The sequence below is a fragment of the Homo sapiens genome, chromosome 12 (assembly GCF_000001405.40).
Source record: "Homo sapiens chromosome 12, GRCh38.p14 Primary Assembly".
NCBI classification, from domain to species: Eukaryota; Metazoa; Chordata; class Mammalia; order Primates; family Hominidae; genus Homo; species Homo sapiens.
This window is the reverse complement of record NC_000012.12, coordinates 76647808-76666420: the sequence shown is the minus strand read 5'-3', so window position 1 is coordinate 76666420 and position 18613 is coordinate 76647808. Positions and strand designations below refer to the sequence as shown.

At 38.4% G+C, this 18613-nt stretch overlaps 1 long non-coding RNA gene and 1 pseudogene across 1 annotated transcript in view; one reads left to right on the top strand and one right to left on the bottom strand.

Moving 5' to 3' along the window:
• Positions 1-1452: 1452 nt before the first annotated feature.
• Positions 1453-18613, top strand: part of LOC105369851 (uncharacterized) — a 28850-nt gene continuing 11689 nt past the window's right edge. Inside the window, exon 1 of the long non-coding RNA XR_945115.3 lies at positions 1453-1623. This is a non-coding gene — a long non-coding RNA (uncharacterized LOC105369851). The remainder of the gene's footprint in view (positions 1624-18613) is intronic.
• On the bottom strand, positions 5493-6056 carry RPL21P98 (ribosomal protein L21 pseudogene 98; annotated as a pseudogene).

Genomic DNA, 18613 nt, shown 5'->3' with positions numbered 1-18613 from the left:
ATACAACCAACAGCTTTGGCTAGAATAAAAGACAACAGGCAATCATCTCAGCGGAGAACTGCCGAAGTAAGCACCAGCCACCCAAAGGGCCCATTAGCATGCAAAAAAAAAAAAAAAAAAAAAAAAAGCCTTCTGAAATCCACTTCTTTCATGCTTCCCCTTACCCTTGTTGGCTCACCTAAGTAAACTCTTATTGCGCCTGGACACTCCCATCCCATAGCGTAACCTTTGCTTCCTTCCTTCTTCTCACCCAATACTGAGGAGGCTTTCTATTTCCCCTTCTTATCTGACAGGAGCTGTCACTAAACACACACACACACACACACACACACACACACACACACACACACACACACTTTCCTGGGGTTAGAATAGCAAAGGGGCTGCAGGGAAGACAACCAGATTACCAAAAAAAGGGAGAGCACATCAGCATTAGGAGATATTTCTTAAATCTCTGTTGCACTGAAAAGTGCTTCTCCTCTGGATGACTGTTCTGTGCCAAAATACCAAAGAGATGGGCTTCTGGGTTTCAGATGAAACTTGATTTCTACGGTTAGATTGAAGGTGAGGGCGGATGTGGCTCAGAGGCAATGTCAGGAAAGAGGAAGCATAGTACACACCTCCTCTTTCCTCAAGTTGGTGTTGGAATCTGTCCCACTTTGAACTCAAGTGGAATTCAGACATGTCAGGCCTTTCCCGGTGAGCAGCAGGGGCAGGCCTTCAAGAAGTCTATTTGCAAGAGTAAAGGAGGAGCCCTCTGGAGAGAATCTTGCCAGAGAAAAGGGAATATATGTCAAAGTGGCAGGAGGGGAGGGGCAATTCTGAGTACTATATGATGTCCTCAACTTGGGTTTGCCATTAGATCAGGCCCTGAAGACTCGCATTTCAGCACAGGGCATGGAATGGAAGGTAGAGATAAACTCAAAAATGAAGAGTTCTTTCACAAAACCTCAGCAAGGCGGCAGCACTGGATGGGTAAGCTTCTAAAAGGAGAAGAGACAATCTGCACACAACATTGGCATATCCAGGGCTCTACTGTATTGGAAGCATCAAGTAGTTAGAAGAGTCCAGCAGGCACAGCCAGGAGAAGTGGCAGGATCATCTTGCTGGTTGGTTTTACACATCCCCCTCCTTCTCCAGGTAAAACCAATCAGCAAGGGGAGAAGGGTTGGGGTGAGAGGAGAGGAAACAAAATGACTGTCACTGTAAGGTAACTGACTAGCCTTGTTTGGGGACACATGGGAGAGACACCCTGCGGACCTTTAGAAATACCTGGGTTTGGAAGGGTCCTTGCAGAATCCTGAGATCCTGTAGTAGGTGGGAGTGAGAGCCAGTGAAACCAGGTGATTTCTTGCATTCTTCTCCTTAGTATAGTTTTACTCATGGAGGGTATGACCAAGCAAACAGACCTCTTAACTGTTTCTCTTTTAAAGGACAGAAGGAGGTCTGCCCCACCAAGGGCTGGTTCCCTGAATTCTTTGGAACAGCTGTAGCAAAACTGGAATGTGCTACAGCTCTTTGGAGGCTGCAGACCCACTGAAAACGTCACTGAAGATATTGCCGGGGCCACTGATGACTTTATAACTTCACCAAAGGAATTAACCTCTAGTTATTAGTAAGGAGGTATTGTTGAAAATTGTTTGAATGTTTAATTTCTGTAGTTCTTTGTGTTTAATCCTATATATTTTTATTCCTTTGAGACTTGATTCATCTTTGGTGTTCAGCAAAGGAGTCTTTAAAGAACTCATATATGGATCAATTTTTCCATGCTTGTCTTCTCATAGCATTTTGTGAATACTTAATCTTCAATCTTATTTCCTATTGAAATAATTGGTTTATATTTCTATCATCTCCCTCGGTGAAGCTATAAGTTCCTCAAGGCCTGAGGTCATGTCAGACATTTAAATTATTTGTACTGAACTCTTGATAGTCTTCATTACTGTGAAAGTAAGCAAGTCCTTTCTTTCTTTCTTTTTTTTTTCTTGGCTCACTGCAGCCTTGACTTCCTGGACTCAAGTGATCCTCCTGCCTCAATCTCCCAAGTAGCTGGGACTACAGGCACATGCCACCACGCCTGACTAATTTTTGTATTTTTAGTGGAGAGAGGGTTTCACCATATTCCGCAGGCTTGTCTTGAACTCCTAGATTCAAGCGATACCCCCCCTTGGCCTCCCAAAGTGCTAAAATTATAAGTGTGAGCCATCATGCCCAGCCATTATTGTAAGAATAAGCTCTTATCACTGGCACCCCCAAAAAAATCTCAGATCAAATTTTCTGTGAATATCTTACTATGGCTAATACTGGTAGTTATTGCCCAATATTCCTATATTCCCCTTTTTCATGAGTAATAAAAATTTTAGGTGGACATATGGCAACCCTGCAAGTACTACATGTCATAGTTGAGGCTGCTATAACAGAATACCATGAACTGGGCATCTTATAAACAACAGAAATGTATTTCTTACAGTTCTAGAGGCTGGGAGTCTGAGATCAGGGTGCCAGCATGGTCAAGTTTGGGTGAGGACCCACTTCCAGGTTGCAGACTCCCAACTTCTCATTGTATCCTCACATGGCAGGAAGAGGGTGGAAAGCTCTCTCATGTCTCTTCCTGTAGAGGCACTAATCCCATTCATAGAGGCTCCACCCTTATGACCTAATCACCCCCTCAAAGGCCATACTTCCTAATGCCATCACATGGAGGATAAGGATTTCAGCACATACATTTGAGGGAGGACACAAACATTTAGCCCATAATACCACATTTTGCAAGCCCCTTTGCAGCTAGTTATAGTATTGTGATGAAGTGTTGGCCACTGGGATGTCAGCCAAGTATTGAGTGCAACTTTTCATTTGTGACAGGAAAGGGAAGGAGATTACCTTCTTTCCTCCAAATCCTATATCTTGCTACTTGGATCAGGGATATGGGATGAACAATCTGTACCTTTAAGGACAAGGGACATACACTAGATATAGTAGAAAAACCAGCTAAAATGAGGCTGAGATCTGACACCATTGAATCATCATGACAGCCCTGGAATGCTCCCCCCGAACTATTACGTGAGGAAGAAATGAACTTCTATCCCATTCAAACCACTGAACATAAGAGGATGGCCACTTAGTCTTGTGTGTGGTATACAAAAAAAAGAAAAAAAAATCATTCCATGGAACCCACAACCAGTCTTCTTTCCTTAATTGTCATTCCTTGAAAATGCTCTGGACAAGGGATAATGGGAAGAAGTTTAATATCAAACAAAAAATAATCACAGTAAGTCAGTAGCTGGTATGTGAAATTGGCAGGCTCCTTGTATAAACTAGCAAATTTCTAATACGTTAAGCATTTTTGTTTGTTCATAATTGTGAAATAAAAGGAGAGACTTCCCTTTGGACATTCATTACTGTCACAGCCCACTCATCTACTATTTAGATATCCATTGGTCCAACTCCAAGAGGGCTGAAGGTGTATGTTCTATTTCCTTTCCATCTGATGCTCTTGGATCATTCAAGTATGGCTGCCTCACTGGCCCCAACCCACTTACTCTGAAACTCACAGATCCTATGCTGAACACTGATAAATTGTAATAAGAAATTAACTTTAGTTTCTTTCATGGTCACCTCCTTGTCTCTTCTCTCATTATTTTATCTTTCTCCCTCAACCTCTTCATCCTTTGTCTCCCATATTACAACTGCTTCCCATCGCCCACCCACCACCACTGTCTTACGATAGAAAGAGTTGCTCACGATATCCCTCAGAGGCTTTCGTATTCCCCACCAATTCTGAGACTCCTGCTCATCCACCAAGTCACATTCTATGTTCTGTGTGGTTCCACCAGAAGGTCCAATATAACCTGGCCATGGTGCCAGCCAAGTGGGCTGAGGGACAGAAGCTGTTGGACCCTGAAGGACCAGGGTGATCCTATTCTGAGGGAATAAGAAACTTGTAAAGATGGCCAGACACGGTGGCTCACGCCTGTAATCCTAGCACTTTGGGAGGCTGAGGCAGGCAGATCACTAGAGGTCAGGAGTTCAAGACCAGCCTGGCCAACATGGTGAAACCCTGTCTCTACTAAAAATACAAAAATTAGCTGGGCTTGGTAGCACATGCCTGTAATTCCAGCTACTCAGGAGGCTGAGGCATGAGAATCCTTTGAATCCGAGAGGCAGAAGTTGTAGTGAGCCGAGATCGCACCACTGCACTCCAGCCTGGGCAATAGAATGAGACTCTCTCAAAAAAAAAAAAAAAAAAAAAGAAAAAAGAAAAAAGGAAAAGAAAAAAAAGTTGTAAAGATGAAAAGTAAGTTTGATAGTCAAATGCCTAGTTCTAAGAGCAGAAGCAACACAGTGAATAGATGACAGAGCTCAAGATTCAGAAAAAGAATAAAACCTATTCAAATTGGAGTTGGAATTTGGATTCACATGTCTCAAACCATTACAGGTTGTTTGACAGAATGTTATATGCATATATATATATATATATATATATATATATATATACACACACACACACACACACACATATATATATATGTACATACATATATATATATATATATGTGTGTAATTTTTTGTACCTAAAATGGCATGCTATCATCATCAGTCTGAGCAAGGACCCTCTTTCACTTGATTTTTTTCTTCATTCTTGATCCACACCCTTATTCCCCTCTCCATCATAGGGGTCCATCCTAATGTATAAGACTTGGAAATGTCTACCCCCTTGGAAAAGGATATAGAATCCAGAATTCAAATTGGAGTTAGTCAAGCTCAAGTAAGCCTTGTATCTGGATTTGGTGGGAATTGAGGTTGACATCTGTCACCCAATTTCGGGTGGTTTGCTGAAATATGGTAAAATGTAACCTATATTGCATTGTATTTTGGTTTTGGATCTAAGGTGGAGAAAGCTGAGTTACTTATGGCATGCTACCATCATCAAAGTCTTTGCAAAGATCTTCTCTTGTTTTGTTCTAATTTGCTCCCTTATCTTTGATTTTCACTCCTATTCTTTTCTCTATCATAAGGACCTATTCCAGTGTATAAGCAATATACATTGTTGAATATGTTTATATCCTTGTAAAATATGTGGTATCATTTTGTGTATGTATTTGTAATTTGTAAATTCAAAATTTATGTTAAGTAATTATGGGAAAGGACTAAACAGAGAGGACCCAGAATTCCATGTGATTTAGATAGGACCCCACCCCTCTGGTCTCTACAGCTTCATTGTCAATGGTGCATATGTCAAAATGAAGAAAACATCCTGTGCTCCTGGAATAAGAAGTTCCCAAAACCCTGTAGGCTTCTGGAAACATTCCTGCCTCCTCGTCCACCACATGCAATCACCACAGTCTGCCTGGGCAGAGCAAATTTTACACATCTTGTAGGGCTTTTTCTTACCCACATACTTTGTAACATGGGGTTTGGAGGTACCTAAGAACCTTCATATGAAGAACTGCGAAGGGACTGAGATTTTACTGTTCTTTTTTTTTTTTTTTTTTTTATAGCCCAGAGGTCCTTTATTTATTTTTTTTTTTAACACCTATTATGCCATGAATTCACAGGGAATAGGTTCCAGCAGCTCAGGCTCCTTCCCATTGGTTCTCACAAAGTGTGCTTCTCTGGGTGGAGCAGGCTGGCGCTTTAGTTGAACCCAGGTACCTTTCTCTTTGGCTTCTTTCTTTTTCTGATCATTTTCCTTCACGCGTTTCAGGAAGCTATCTCAGCTCTTAGAGTGCTTAATGTGCTCAATACGCACATTAATTCTCTTGGCAAGAATCTTGCCCTTAACTTGTTTGTTTACAACAATGCCAACAGTATGCTGGGTAACATTGTAGACTCTTCCAGTTTTGCCATGGTAACACTTGTGGGGCATTCCTTTTTGAACAGTACCCATTCCCTTGATGTCTACAATATCACCTTTCTTATAGATTCGCATATATGTGGCCAAACAAACAACTCCATGTTTTCTAAAAGGCCTAGAGAACATATATGGGGTGCCTCTCCTCTTTCCCTTTGTGTTCGTCATTTTGGCGAATTACTGGAAGATGGCGGTTCCGGCCGAAAGGGTTTACTGTTCTTACAAGCTAAAAGCCTGACACAATTTCACAGATGCTCGCAGAAGAAATGAGACTCCTGTATCAGAGACAAAGAACAATTTATTACTCATAGAAACAGCAATTGCTAGAGTATCATTTTTCCTCGACCAGTTCCTTGAAACCCAATTTCTACAGAGCAACACAAAGAGGGTCAGGTGACTCCTGCATACAGGGGATGCATCATAGGAGAGGCACCCTAACTTAGGAGACACGATTTTTTTTTTTAAGTGACAAAGTCTTTCTCTGTCACCCAGGCTGCAGCAAGAGGCACAATCATAGCTCACCGCAGCCTTGAACTCCTGGGCTCAAGTGATTGTCCCACCTCAGCTTCCTGAGTAGTTGGGACTACAGGCACATGCCACCAAGCCCAACTAATTTCTTTTTCTTTTCCTTTTTTATTTCAATAGTTTTTTGGGGAAGAGGTGGAGTTTGGTTACATAAATAAGTTTTTTAGTGGTGATTTCTGAGATTTTGGTGCATCCATCACCCAAGCAGTGTTCACTGTACCCAATGTGTAGTTTTTTATTCCTCACCCTCTTCCCACCCTTTCCCCCTGAGTCACCAAAGTCCATTGTATCATTCTTATTCCTTTGTGTCCTCATAGCTTAACTCTTGCTTATGAATGAGAACATACAATGTTTGGTTTTCCTTTCCTGAGTTATTTCACTTAGTATAACAGTCTCCAAATCCATCCAGGTTGCTATGAATGCCATTATTTCATTCCTTTTTATGACTGAGTAGCATTCCATGGTGTATATATATATATACCATATTTTCTTTATCCACTCATTGACTGATGGGCATTTGGGCTGATTCCATGTTTTTGTAATTGTGAATTGTGCTGCTATAAACATACATCTGCAAGTATCTTTTTCATAAAATAACTTCTTTTCCTCTGGGTAGTGACCCAGTAGTGGCACTGCTGCATCAAGTGGTAGATTTACTTTTAGTTCTTTTTTTTGTTCTGAGATGGAGTCTCACTCTGTCCCCCAGGCTGGAGTGCAGTGGTGTGATCTCAGCTCACTGCAACCTCTGTCTCCTGGGTTCAAGCAATTCTCCTGCCTCGGCCTCCTGAGTAGCTCGGATTACAGGTGTGTGCCACCATGCCTGGCTAATTTTTGTATTTTTAGTAGAAATGGGGTTTCCCCATCTTGGCCAGGCTGGTCCTGAACTCCTGACCTTGTGATCTGCCTGCCCCAAGCCTCCCAAAGTGCTGGGATTACAGGTGTGAGCCACCACGCCTGGCCTACTTTTAGTTCTTTAAGGAATCTCACACTGTTTTCCATAGTGGTTGTACTAGTTTACATTCCCACCAGCAATGTAAAAGTGTTCCCTTTTCACCACATCCATGCCAACATCTATTATTTTTTGATTTTTTGATTATGGCCATTCTTGCAGGAGTGGGGTGGTATTGCATTGTGGTTTTGATTTGCATTTCCCTGATCATTAGTGATGTTGAGCATTTTTTTACATGTTTGTTGGCCATTTGTATATCTTCTTTTGAGAATTGTCTATTCATGTCCTTAGCCCACTTTTTGATGGGTTTGTTTTTCTCTTGTTGATTTGTTTGAGTTCCTTGTAGATTCTGGATATTAGTCATTTGTCGGATGTACAGATTGCAAAGATATTCTCACACTCTGTGGGTTCTCTGTTTACTCTACTGATTGTTTCTTTTGCTGTGCAGAAGCTTTTTAGTTTAATTAAGTTTCATCTATTTATCTTTGTTTTTGTCACATTTGCTTTTGGGTTCTTGGTTATGAAGTCTTTGCCTAAGCCAATGTCCAGAATGGTTTTTCACTTTTAGAATTTTTATAGTTTCAGGTCTTAGATTTAAGTCTCTGATCCATCTTGGATTGATTTTTTTTTAAAGGTGAAAAAATGAGGATCTAGCTTCATTCTTTCTTTCATTCTTCTATATGTGGCTTGCCAATTATCCGAGCACCATTTGTTTAAAAGGGCATCCTTTCCCCACTTTATGTTTTTGTTTGCTTTGTTGAAGATCAGTTAGCTGTAAGTATTGGCTTTATTTCTGGGTTCTCTGTTCTTTTCCATTGGTCTATATTCCTTTTTTTTTTTTTTGAGACGGAGTCTTGCTCTGTCCCCCAGGCTGGAGTTCAATGGTGCGATCTTGGCTCACTGCAACCTCGCCTCCTGGGTTCAAGCAATTCTCCTGCCTCAGCCTCCTGAGTAGCTGAGATTACAGGCTCCTGCCACCATGCCCGGTTAATTTTTGTATTTTTAGTAGAGACAGGGTTTCACCATATTGGTCAGGCTGCTCTCGAACTCCTGACCTCAGGTGATCTGCCCACCTCGGCCTCCCAAAGTGCTGGGATTACAGGCGTGAGCCACTGTGCCCGGCATATACGCCTGTTTTTTATACCAGTACCATGCTGTTTTGGTGACTATGGCTTTATAGTATAGTTTGAAGTCAGGTTTTGTGCTGTCTCCTGATTTGTTCTTTTTGCTTTGTCTTGCTTTGGCTATGCAGGCTCCTTTTTGGTTCCATATGCATTTCAGGATTGTTTTTACTAATTCTGTGAAGAATGATGGTGTATTTTGATGGGAATTGCTTGAATTTGTAGATTGCTTTTAAGCCCAACTAATTTTTAAATTTTTTATAGAGATGGAGTCTCGCTATGGTGCCCAGGCTGATCTTGAACTCCTGGTCTTAGGTGATCCTCTTGCCATGGCCTCCCAAAGTGTTGGGATTACAAGCATGAGCCACTGCAACCTGCTTAAATCTCTTTAAATCGTTAATAAGACTGCCTGATCTTTGCCCTAAAGAAATATATTTTTTATTATAATGAACAGTAAATAAACCTTCCCTTAATTATCTCCATCTTCCAAAGGTGTTTTCTATACAAACATCCTTGAAAAGGTAGTTCAGAACAAAGGCAGTCTTCTCATAAGAATTGCATAAACATAAAAGACCACTGAAGGATTGTTTCCCAAATCTCCTATACAATTTTCTCTCTTTCTTTCTAAATACCCTATATATAAAGCTTGTATCACTGGATAACCCTTTCTTATTGTAATTATATAGAAACTCTAGGTTACTCCCTCTCATTTTCTGAAGAAATCAGTATATTCATTATCCTTTTAGTACTCTGGCTTTTTGGTTTCATGACCTCTTTTCCACCGGTAGTTTTAATCTCTATTTTATTTTCTAATTACTTGCAAAGTTTATATGTTAGGTATTTGAGTTTCTCATTATGCGAATGCCATATTCATATCCTTTACCCATTTTTCTTTTGGGTTTATCATTTTCTCATTTAATTAACAGGAATGTCTTCTCTAAGGTAGATATCTATCCCCTGTTGGCTTTACTTGTGTCAAATATCTTTGTCCGTACTGTGATCTCTATGTAAACTTTGCCTATTATAACATTTGATAAAGAGCCATTAATTTTAATGTCATCTTTTTTATCTTAGAGTTTGTGCAAAAAAGGAGCTGGTTTAAGAAGACCTTTTACACTTGAAAGCCTGAGAAATACTTCACATGTCTCTTTTTTCTTTTCCATTAGCTTTTCAGTTTTATCTTTTCCATTTAGTACTTTAATCCAACTGGATTCCACTCTTGCATATGGTACAAGCACGCATTCTTAATGGGCAGGGGGTGATATCACTCTGAAGGGAGTGAAAATTGGTTCTTAGGGGTAGGAAAAAAAAAGTAGATATTACAATGGTTTATGGCTCTCCTAAGTGGCATAATATATAAAGAGATATACAGTATACCTGTGATATTAAAATTTCATTGAGAAGGAGGAAAATTGGGAGAAAATGTCTAACATGATTTCTTATGAGGATAATAAGGAAAAGGGTTGAGAAACACTGGTATAAGCTAAGAATACAGCATTATTTTTCTCATACAGTGACATATTCCCAATACTATTTTTTTCTTTTAAATTTTTCTTTTAAATTTTACTTTTTTACTACAGCTGCTGGCAACCTTGACCAATACCATCTATGAAACAGTTTATCAACCTTTCTCTGCCTGTGCATATGCATGCATCTGTTACTGAGCTCTGTTGCATGTTTCACTGGTATATGTGTTCCTAAGCCAACGTCCCACTTTTTTGATTACCATAGTTTTGTAACTGTCTGATATCTGGCAGTAAGGTGCCCTCTTTCTCTGACCTTTTTCTAAGTTGCCTTAATTATTCATAAAATATTTGGTCTTCTTATACATGTCAGGATAAGTACGTTGAATTCATTTTTTAAAAGTCCTTCTCTAATTTTAATTGGCATTGACTTGCGTTTATAGATTAATTTTGAGAACTTCCATGTTTTACAGTATTGCCATCTGTTCCATGAACAAGGCATAGCACTCCATTTATTTAGGCTTTCCAGCCCTTAAATAAATTTAAAACTTTTTCTTCATAAAGGTCTTATGAATTGTTCAGTTAAATTCATAGTTTATCTTTTGATTGCTATTGTGAATGACATTATAGAATCTGTTATATTTTTAGTTGATTATTGTTGATACAGAGGAACATTGATTTCTGTGAGTGGATCTTGTAGCTTGCATTCTTGCTGAATTCTCTTATTAAATCTATAGTCTTTCTGTTGATTCAGTCGGGATTACCTTATCTGCAAAAAAAGAAAGAGGGAGAGAAAAAGGGAAAGAAAGAAAAGACCAAAAAAAGAAAAAGAAATTCTGTACTTTCTCTGGAACAGATGAGGAGAAAACAGTAATCTAGTGATCTACATATAGCAAGAGAAACAGTGAATTGAACCCTTGTGGAGCACATTATAATAATCAGCTGTTCTAGTTTAATGGCACAGGTAGTATCTGCTTTGCATTTCAGTGATCGGCTTGTTCAATTCTGCCAAATAAATACCTATAATTACCTTTTGCTTCCTTTTCATAGGCTCAGTCCTTTTTTGGCTATATAATTATAAATTTTTAGGAATGTTTTATGTTACAATGGGTGAAACCACTTTTACTACTTTATCTCAGCAAGCAGAACAATAACCAATATTCTTTGGCTTTTTTTGAATAGCCATGCTTAACAATCTCTGAACATTCTCACCAGTACTCACAATAAGAAGAAAATTTAGGCTGGGTGCGGTGGCTCACGCCTGTAATCTCAGCACTTTGGGAGGCCGTGGTGGGTGGATCATGAGGTCAGGAATTTGAGACCAGCCTGGCCAACATGGTGAAACTTCATCCCTACTAAAAATACAAAAATTAGCTGGGCGTAGTGGTGCGTGCCTATAATCCCAGCTACTGGGGAGGCTGAGGCAGGAGACTCGCTTGAACCCGGGAGGCAGAGGTTGCAGTGAGCCAAGATCATGCCACTGTACTCCAGCCTGGGTGACAGAGCAAGACTCCGCCAAAAACAAACAAACAAACAAACAAACAAACAAAACACACAGAAAATTTAAGCACATGTATTAGAGGGAAAAAAAGAATCTCTTGATCTCTTGAGTAATTTCCTAAATGATGATCTATCAAAAATAACTAAGTCAAAGTGATTGTTATTGCTTAATAAGAGCTTCAAGAGGTTAATTGTGCATAAAATATACACATCATTTCCTGAACGGAACAATATGTGCACAATCAAATTATGCTCCATCAGAATAAACAGGCAATGGCCAGGCACGATAACTCATGCCTGTAATCCCAGCACTTTAGGAGGACAAGGTGGGCGGATCACCTGAGGTCAGGAGTTTGAGACCAGCCTGACCAACATGGAGAAACCTCGTCTAAATAGAAAACTTAGCCAGGTGTGGTGGCATGTGCCTGTGATCCCAGCTACTCAGGAGAAAGGAGAATTGCTTGAACCCAGAAGGTGGAGGCTGCAGTAAGCTGAGATCATGCCACTGCACTCCAGCGTGGGCAACAGAGCGAGACTCCATTTCAAAAAATAAATAAATAAACAGGCAACGTTTCCATGCAAAAATATACTTGTATATACTCTACATTTCCCAAAATATTCACAAGAAATTTAGATGCCTTCAGAGAAACAAATTCCTGAAAATGATCAAATTGATTGGACTGAAAATTTCTTCACTACTTAAAAACCTAAGAAATCACTTAGCCAACAAGTAATTTCTTCCCGAATAAAAGTGTGGCACTTGGAAAAATTAGAGCACATGTATTTTAAACACCACCAAACAGATTTTTTCCTAAAACTTTCTGTAAGCTAAATGGAATTCAGAGTTAAGGCATTGAAAAGTGACACTAAGATTAACCCTTGTTAAGGAGAGCAGATGGAAAGACAAGTTTGTAACAATGGAATAATCTTTGCTGCTTTTAGAGTAGGAAGGACACATTATAAAATACAATGGTTTATCAAGGAGGAAGAAATTCCTAACAGAAACAACTTTATGAAGCTGATCCTGTATTATTCTATCAGGAAATATGAGAAATGCATGAAATTTAAGGGAAATATCTTCTTCCCTTTTCAAGACAGGGTCTTGTTCTGTTGCACAGACTGGGGTGCAATGGTGTGGTCATAGCTCACTGCAGCTTCCACCTCCTGGGCTCAAGCCATCCTCCTTCCTCAGTCTCACAAGTAGCTGAAACTACAGGCGTGCCACCACACCTGGCTAATTTTTAAACTTTTTTTTTTTTTTGGTAGAAACAGGGTCTCACTATGTTGCCCAGGTCAGTTTTGAGCTCCTGGGCTCAAGTGAGTCACCCACCTCGGCCTTCCAAAGTGCTGGGATTATAGGTATGAGCCACTGTACCAGGTGAGGGAAACTTTTTTTTTGCAAAGCAATAGAAGTATGATTTGTTGTAAAGTTATCATTAAAGGCAGCAGACCTGTCACTGCATTGTTAATTCATTGGACTTTGTACTTATCTTTATTATAACACAAATTCACCCTGTGTCATAATTATATGTGCCACTATGAGCAATTGACAGTCAGGAATTCTCTTTTCCTATCTTGGTTTTGTTTTGATTTTTAAAATTTCCTGCATTCAGCATGGTGCACAGACATGTAGCCAGTGCTCAATCTTTAAAATGCTTTATGTTGTAAAGTAATGCAATATGTGATTTAAGACTTTCCACTATGTCTAGGTGTATTTACTATCATTGCATTTGGCTATCTAATAGACACACAATTCATTCTGCTTGAGCCACAATGACCTGTATCAGTTCAGTGTAGACCAATTATTCTAATCCTCAAGTTCAGCTTTTAACTCTGCTAGATGCTGTTTGACACTAGATTCCCCAGTACTAAAAATCTTGCCAACCTTACATTATGTTGTTGTATATAATTACAGCTTCCTAGTACTCAGTATGATATTATTAGCTCAAGCTGTAGCTCATTTGGTGTACATAATTACAGCACACTCAGCAGTGAGACCTGACCTACATGGGGCTGGGGGGGAGGGTGGGGGGATTCTGGTAATAATTTTGTCTATTTCAATTGACAATAAATGTAGTTATTACCAAGACTCCAAATTTTGGGAAAGTTTGATATTCACACTGCATTTCCAAGTACCTTTGGAATACCTAACATTACACTGATATTTTAGAGCTATTATTCTTTCTAATAATGATTGAATATTAGTATTATTTAAGCAACACTTCACTTTTTTTGGTTCTTTTCTCTTGTGGGCGCCTGGTTGGAAAACAACAAGGAGCAAAATGGTACAAAAGTGGAAGTTGTAAAGAATTGTCCTGCTAGAGAGTTATAGCTTAGAAATTTGTATGATGCCTAAGGCATAGTCAGACTTCAGTAAATTACACTTCCTTGTTATCATTACATGTATATGTTTTACAGCTTCAAACTTTAACAAGCACAGGTAAGCAACTGATAATCCTAGGTGCGTTCTCTTGAATCAGAATTGTCCTGGCTCCTAAGGATTAAGTACTAGAGGAACTTGGGGCTGGGAGGAGGAAGGCTTTGGTTGCTTGGGCATTTCCTTTCTTCCTAGTTTTACCTCTCATTGCTTCCGAGTCACTATTACACTTCTCGGCTGGCCTGCTCTGTATTTGCCTATATCTATCTCTTGGATTTAATTGCATTACAAAAAAGGTTAAAGTTTAACCCAGACATATGGCACTTAACTGAAATTCTCAATATCAATAATTAAAGAACTTTAATTTTTTAAAGAGAAAATGTCTTGGAGACCATTCTTTTACCTCCCCTTAGAGACTTGTCATAAATAACCAGAGTTAATGCATTTGCACATTATTTCATGCTTGTGAAGTGCTGTGAGCCTCAAGAAGAAATCTCTTTAAGTATGCAGTATATATCCCATTTTATTTCAAAGCACGTAATATTTTAAATCAAAGAAATTAATTTTTAAGAAAGAACTTTCAGTTTTCAAACTATTCACAATTTACATTTTAACAATGTACATTTAAATATTCTGAAGATGAAAGCATGGCTGCTTCAATATTAAGGGTCTCTTTCCATCTCCAAATATACTTAAAGTAATTTTCATTTATGTGGTTCAAAGTTTATATGCCCCTAAAGCCTATACTAAATAAGAGAAAAACCCCCAAAGTTTATATGCCAATATAGGCAGGAGAATTAATTTAATTCAATACAAGGGAGGAGAATTATTATGTAAAGGATGCTTACCAGCATAATCAGCTAATAACGTTATAGAGAGCTTTTACTTTATGTAAGCATTTTTTAGAGACTTTGATTTGACCAATAATACACACACACACACACACACACACACACACACACACAGAATTTTCTTAATGTTAAACCATATTATAATAGGGTTCTTCTTAAAACATCTTGACATCTTCCTTACACAGGTCTTGTGACTATTATAGAACCAAATCACCATTACGAAACTAAGTGATGGGTTACATAAAGAAAATGGGGTCTCTTCTGATAGGTGTCAAGGAAGCACAGAAATGTTAGAACTGTTTGAGACCTTGGAGATCATCTATCCCAACAATGTCATTGACATTGAAACTTAGGCTCACAATTCTTCATTATAAACAGTTTTTAAATTGCCTTTTATTAGTCCAAGTGATAGCAATACCTCTATAGCCTTAGGTAGAAGCTAATTATTCATTACATTGTAATTCTCTATTTACCGTGTCCTAGCTCTGTCCTGCTACCTAGACTCCTACAGGATGTAAACAAAAAATATTTCTATAGGATGTATTACTTTGTTCTCTCCCTAAAAAATTCAGTTTGTTAGCATCTACATTTTTAAACTGTTGAAATGGACCCAAATATGTAATAAATACTATAGTAGCTCAGACCCATGGAAATATTTTTCTAAAATCAGTTTTCATTAAAGTAGTTTCTACTTCCATTACTGGATCTGGTCTCTCCTAAAATGTAAGAAACCAGTTACTATTAATGATAAACCATTTGCTCATTATAAATATGAGGTTTAACAAGTAATACATGCTATATTTATTTGTCTAACTCTTAACTGTTAATTATGAACAGATTATTAGATGCCTACTCTATTTTCTGCAGTTTACAATAAAATAACTCTTTGAGTAAATTGAAGTTGGATTGTGTAACAAATTTATATTAGAATACAATTTGAAGTGTTTTTTTCTATAGCCTTTTTTGACTGGAGAAGCAAAGGGTAATGTTAATTTGTAAATTTCATTCTTGTATTATTTATGTTTCTGTAAGATATGATGCCCTATCCCAGAGATGCTGGAAGACTTTCTTTGCTTCTACCTGTGGGTTTGGTTTTTGTGAGTTTTTAAAAGAGTATGCATACAATAAAATATTCCTTCTGTGTTAAAATAAGAGAAACGAAGTCTCAGAGAAATCAATCTGACTTGTAACACTCATATTGCCTGTAGTAAAAGCTGATCTAATAATAATAATGCAAGAGATTGTTAAAAGGATAGTCTTTTAATTGGAAAAAGCAAATAATCAATTAGTGACTTGCAAGAATTACTCATAGCATTCACCTAGACCCACATTATATACTGCCAAAATACAGAAGCCTACAAAACTGAAATGTTGGGTAGCTCAGAAAGAGAATAGGAAAAATAATATTCACCACACTGGTTTACTTTGAGAATACTTGAAATCAAATATTTACCTGAAATTTATTAGAAATCTCTTATAAGAAGCATGTATGTTAGATGTTATGAATGATTTAAAGAATTAAGAAAATGAAGGAGGAGTGAGGGAAGGAAGAAAAAGACAAATCCTGTTCTCCAAGGATTACTTCTGGCAGGAAAGAAGATATTGCTATTGCTACATTTTGTTTAACTCTCCATAAGCATTCGTGTATTATTTCAGTCCCTGCCATTAAATGAAATGTTCTTTGAAAGCAGAGAGTATATCTTCTTCAATGATTAATCTCCCAGAGTAGCTTCTGTTAATAGCATTTGTCCAATAAGTGCTTCTTGAATTGAAATCAATTCTGTCAATATTATGGTGCATCCAAACACCAATAGTAAAATGCATCCTATCTTTTATATACCATTTCAGGCTCATTGATGATGCACACCCAATAAATCTTTTGCATAAACAATATTTTTAAGCAATACTTGCACAAATGGGTTTTATAAGACTTGAGGGGAAAGTACATGATGAAACATTCATCTTTTTTTTTCTAGTTCTAGATTGTTATTTATTTATTTAATTTTATTTTTTATTTTATTATTATTATACTTTAAGTTTTAGGGTACATGTGCACAATGTGCAGGTTAGTTACATATGTATACATGTGCCATGCTGGTGTGCTGCACCCATTAACTTGTCATTTAGCATTAGGTATATCTCCTAAGAAACATTCATCTTTTTAAAAAACTCTGTTAAATATTTTAGATTAAATACCAGTATTTTTCCTGAAATGAATAAAGATCCATTTAGAGATACACTTATTGGCACTCTTACTAAAACCATTTAATCGTGTTTCTGTAGGTAAGCTGACACTTTGATTCTGCATGCCTTTGTTAAATAACACCAGGTTGAGAGGGGAAATGATCTAACTGAAAGGCAAAAAAGAGTATTATAAATCAGATGAAGTCCCCAGAGACAGATGATCAATTGACAGGCATTTGGTCTGTCTAAAGGAGGAAGGGGTGGCCTTTGGCTGTCATAGGGGAGGAAGTCATATGAATAAGGCAGAAGGAATGCCATGAGCAAAGGCATAGAGGTGAAAGGGTGACTGTACGCTTCCCCTTGTTCTAAAGACTCGTGCGCCATTTTAGGTACCGGTTCTGATACGTGGTTTCTGCTTTGTTTCTGTACTGGAGTGCTTCTCTGTATCTTGTTAATTCCCCAAGTCACTTTAGGAGGAAGGTCTTTCTTGGCTCTTGTGAACCCCAACCCCAACCCCATATAGCTAAAAACCCTCTCACTACACCCCAGAGCATGCTCACTAGTTACCCAAATATCCTCAAAAGCTTTCCAGCTCTTTGCCTAGTTTTCTAGACATCTGGATAAACTTGGGTAAATTAACTTTTTCTAAACTTTGGGTAGCTCAGAAAGAGACTAGGTGAAATAATATTCACCACACTGCTTTACTTTGAGGATAAAACCACTAATGTCTATAAATTGCCTAGCATAATGCCTAACACCCGGGATTTCTGTTCTGCTTCTGAGCTCTGTCCACTAAATGGGACTCTGCTAATTTCTCTTACTATCGCATTCACCACTACCGGCCCCCGCCCCAACCATGCACACCCAGGCACATGGACTACTTTCTTGAAATACCACCTATTTTTGTTAGCCTTCCCTCCACCATCATGCATTGCTGCAGAACGGTATTGCTGCCCGCATGGGCAGCTGGCTCTGGTCCTGTGATGCCGGCTCCATCTCCCCAGCAGGAGGATCTCATTCCTGGGCTGGCCCTTCCCAGGCTGCAGCTTCCTGAAAAATATTGTCCTGAAATAGGATACCAGGGACCTTTTTTTCTGAAAAAGAGAAAGCTGTTTTCAAATATTTGAAGGCCTGACTTATACATAAGAAATTAGACTAGAGTTTCTAAAAGTTTTTTATGCCATGGACCCCTTGGTGATCCAGAGAAGCTTATGGACCCTTTCCATATTCCATAGAAACATTATTCTAATAATGTTTTTAAATGTAGAAACTATAATGCATAGGATTACAAAGAAACCAATTATGTTGAAAGACAGTCCTTGAAATTTTTTTTTAAACAAGCTTGTGCTATAGCAACATGTATGTTTTTTATTAATGCAAATAATAAGGTGTAGCGGCAGGCCTAAAAACTTCAGAAATTGCGGTTACCCTGAATAAATGAGATTTTAAGATTTTTAGGACAACAGGAATATGATACAGAAATATCTGTGATTCCTGTAACTGACAAAGTCATAGAGACTATTAATGCTACTGTGATTTGTTGCCTCCACTCAATAATTGAAGGAAATCTAAATTTAGAGATGAGTGAAAATGAGGATGTTGTATATTTTCCCCATCTAAATTCATAGACCCTTGAAATGTATCCATAGATATTCTTGGCCTATGCCTCCCCATCACCCGCCCTGTGTAAGGACTGTAAGGACCCTGCATAAGACTCCTTCTGTGCCTTTGAAAGGAGTAGAGCTCATCTCAGTGGGTCCATGTTATAAGAGGGCAGACTTCAGTTCACCACAAT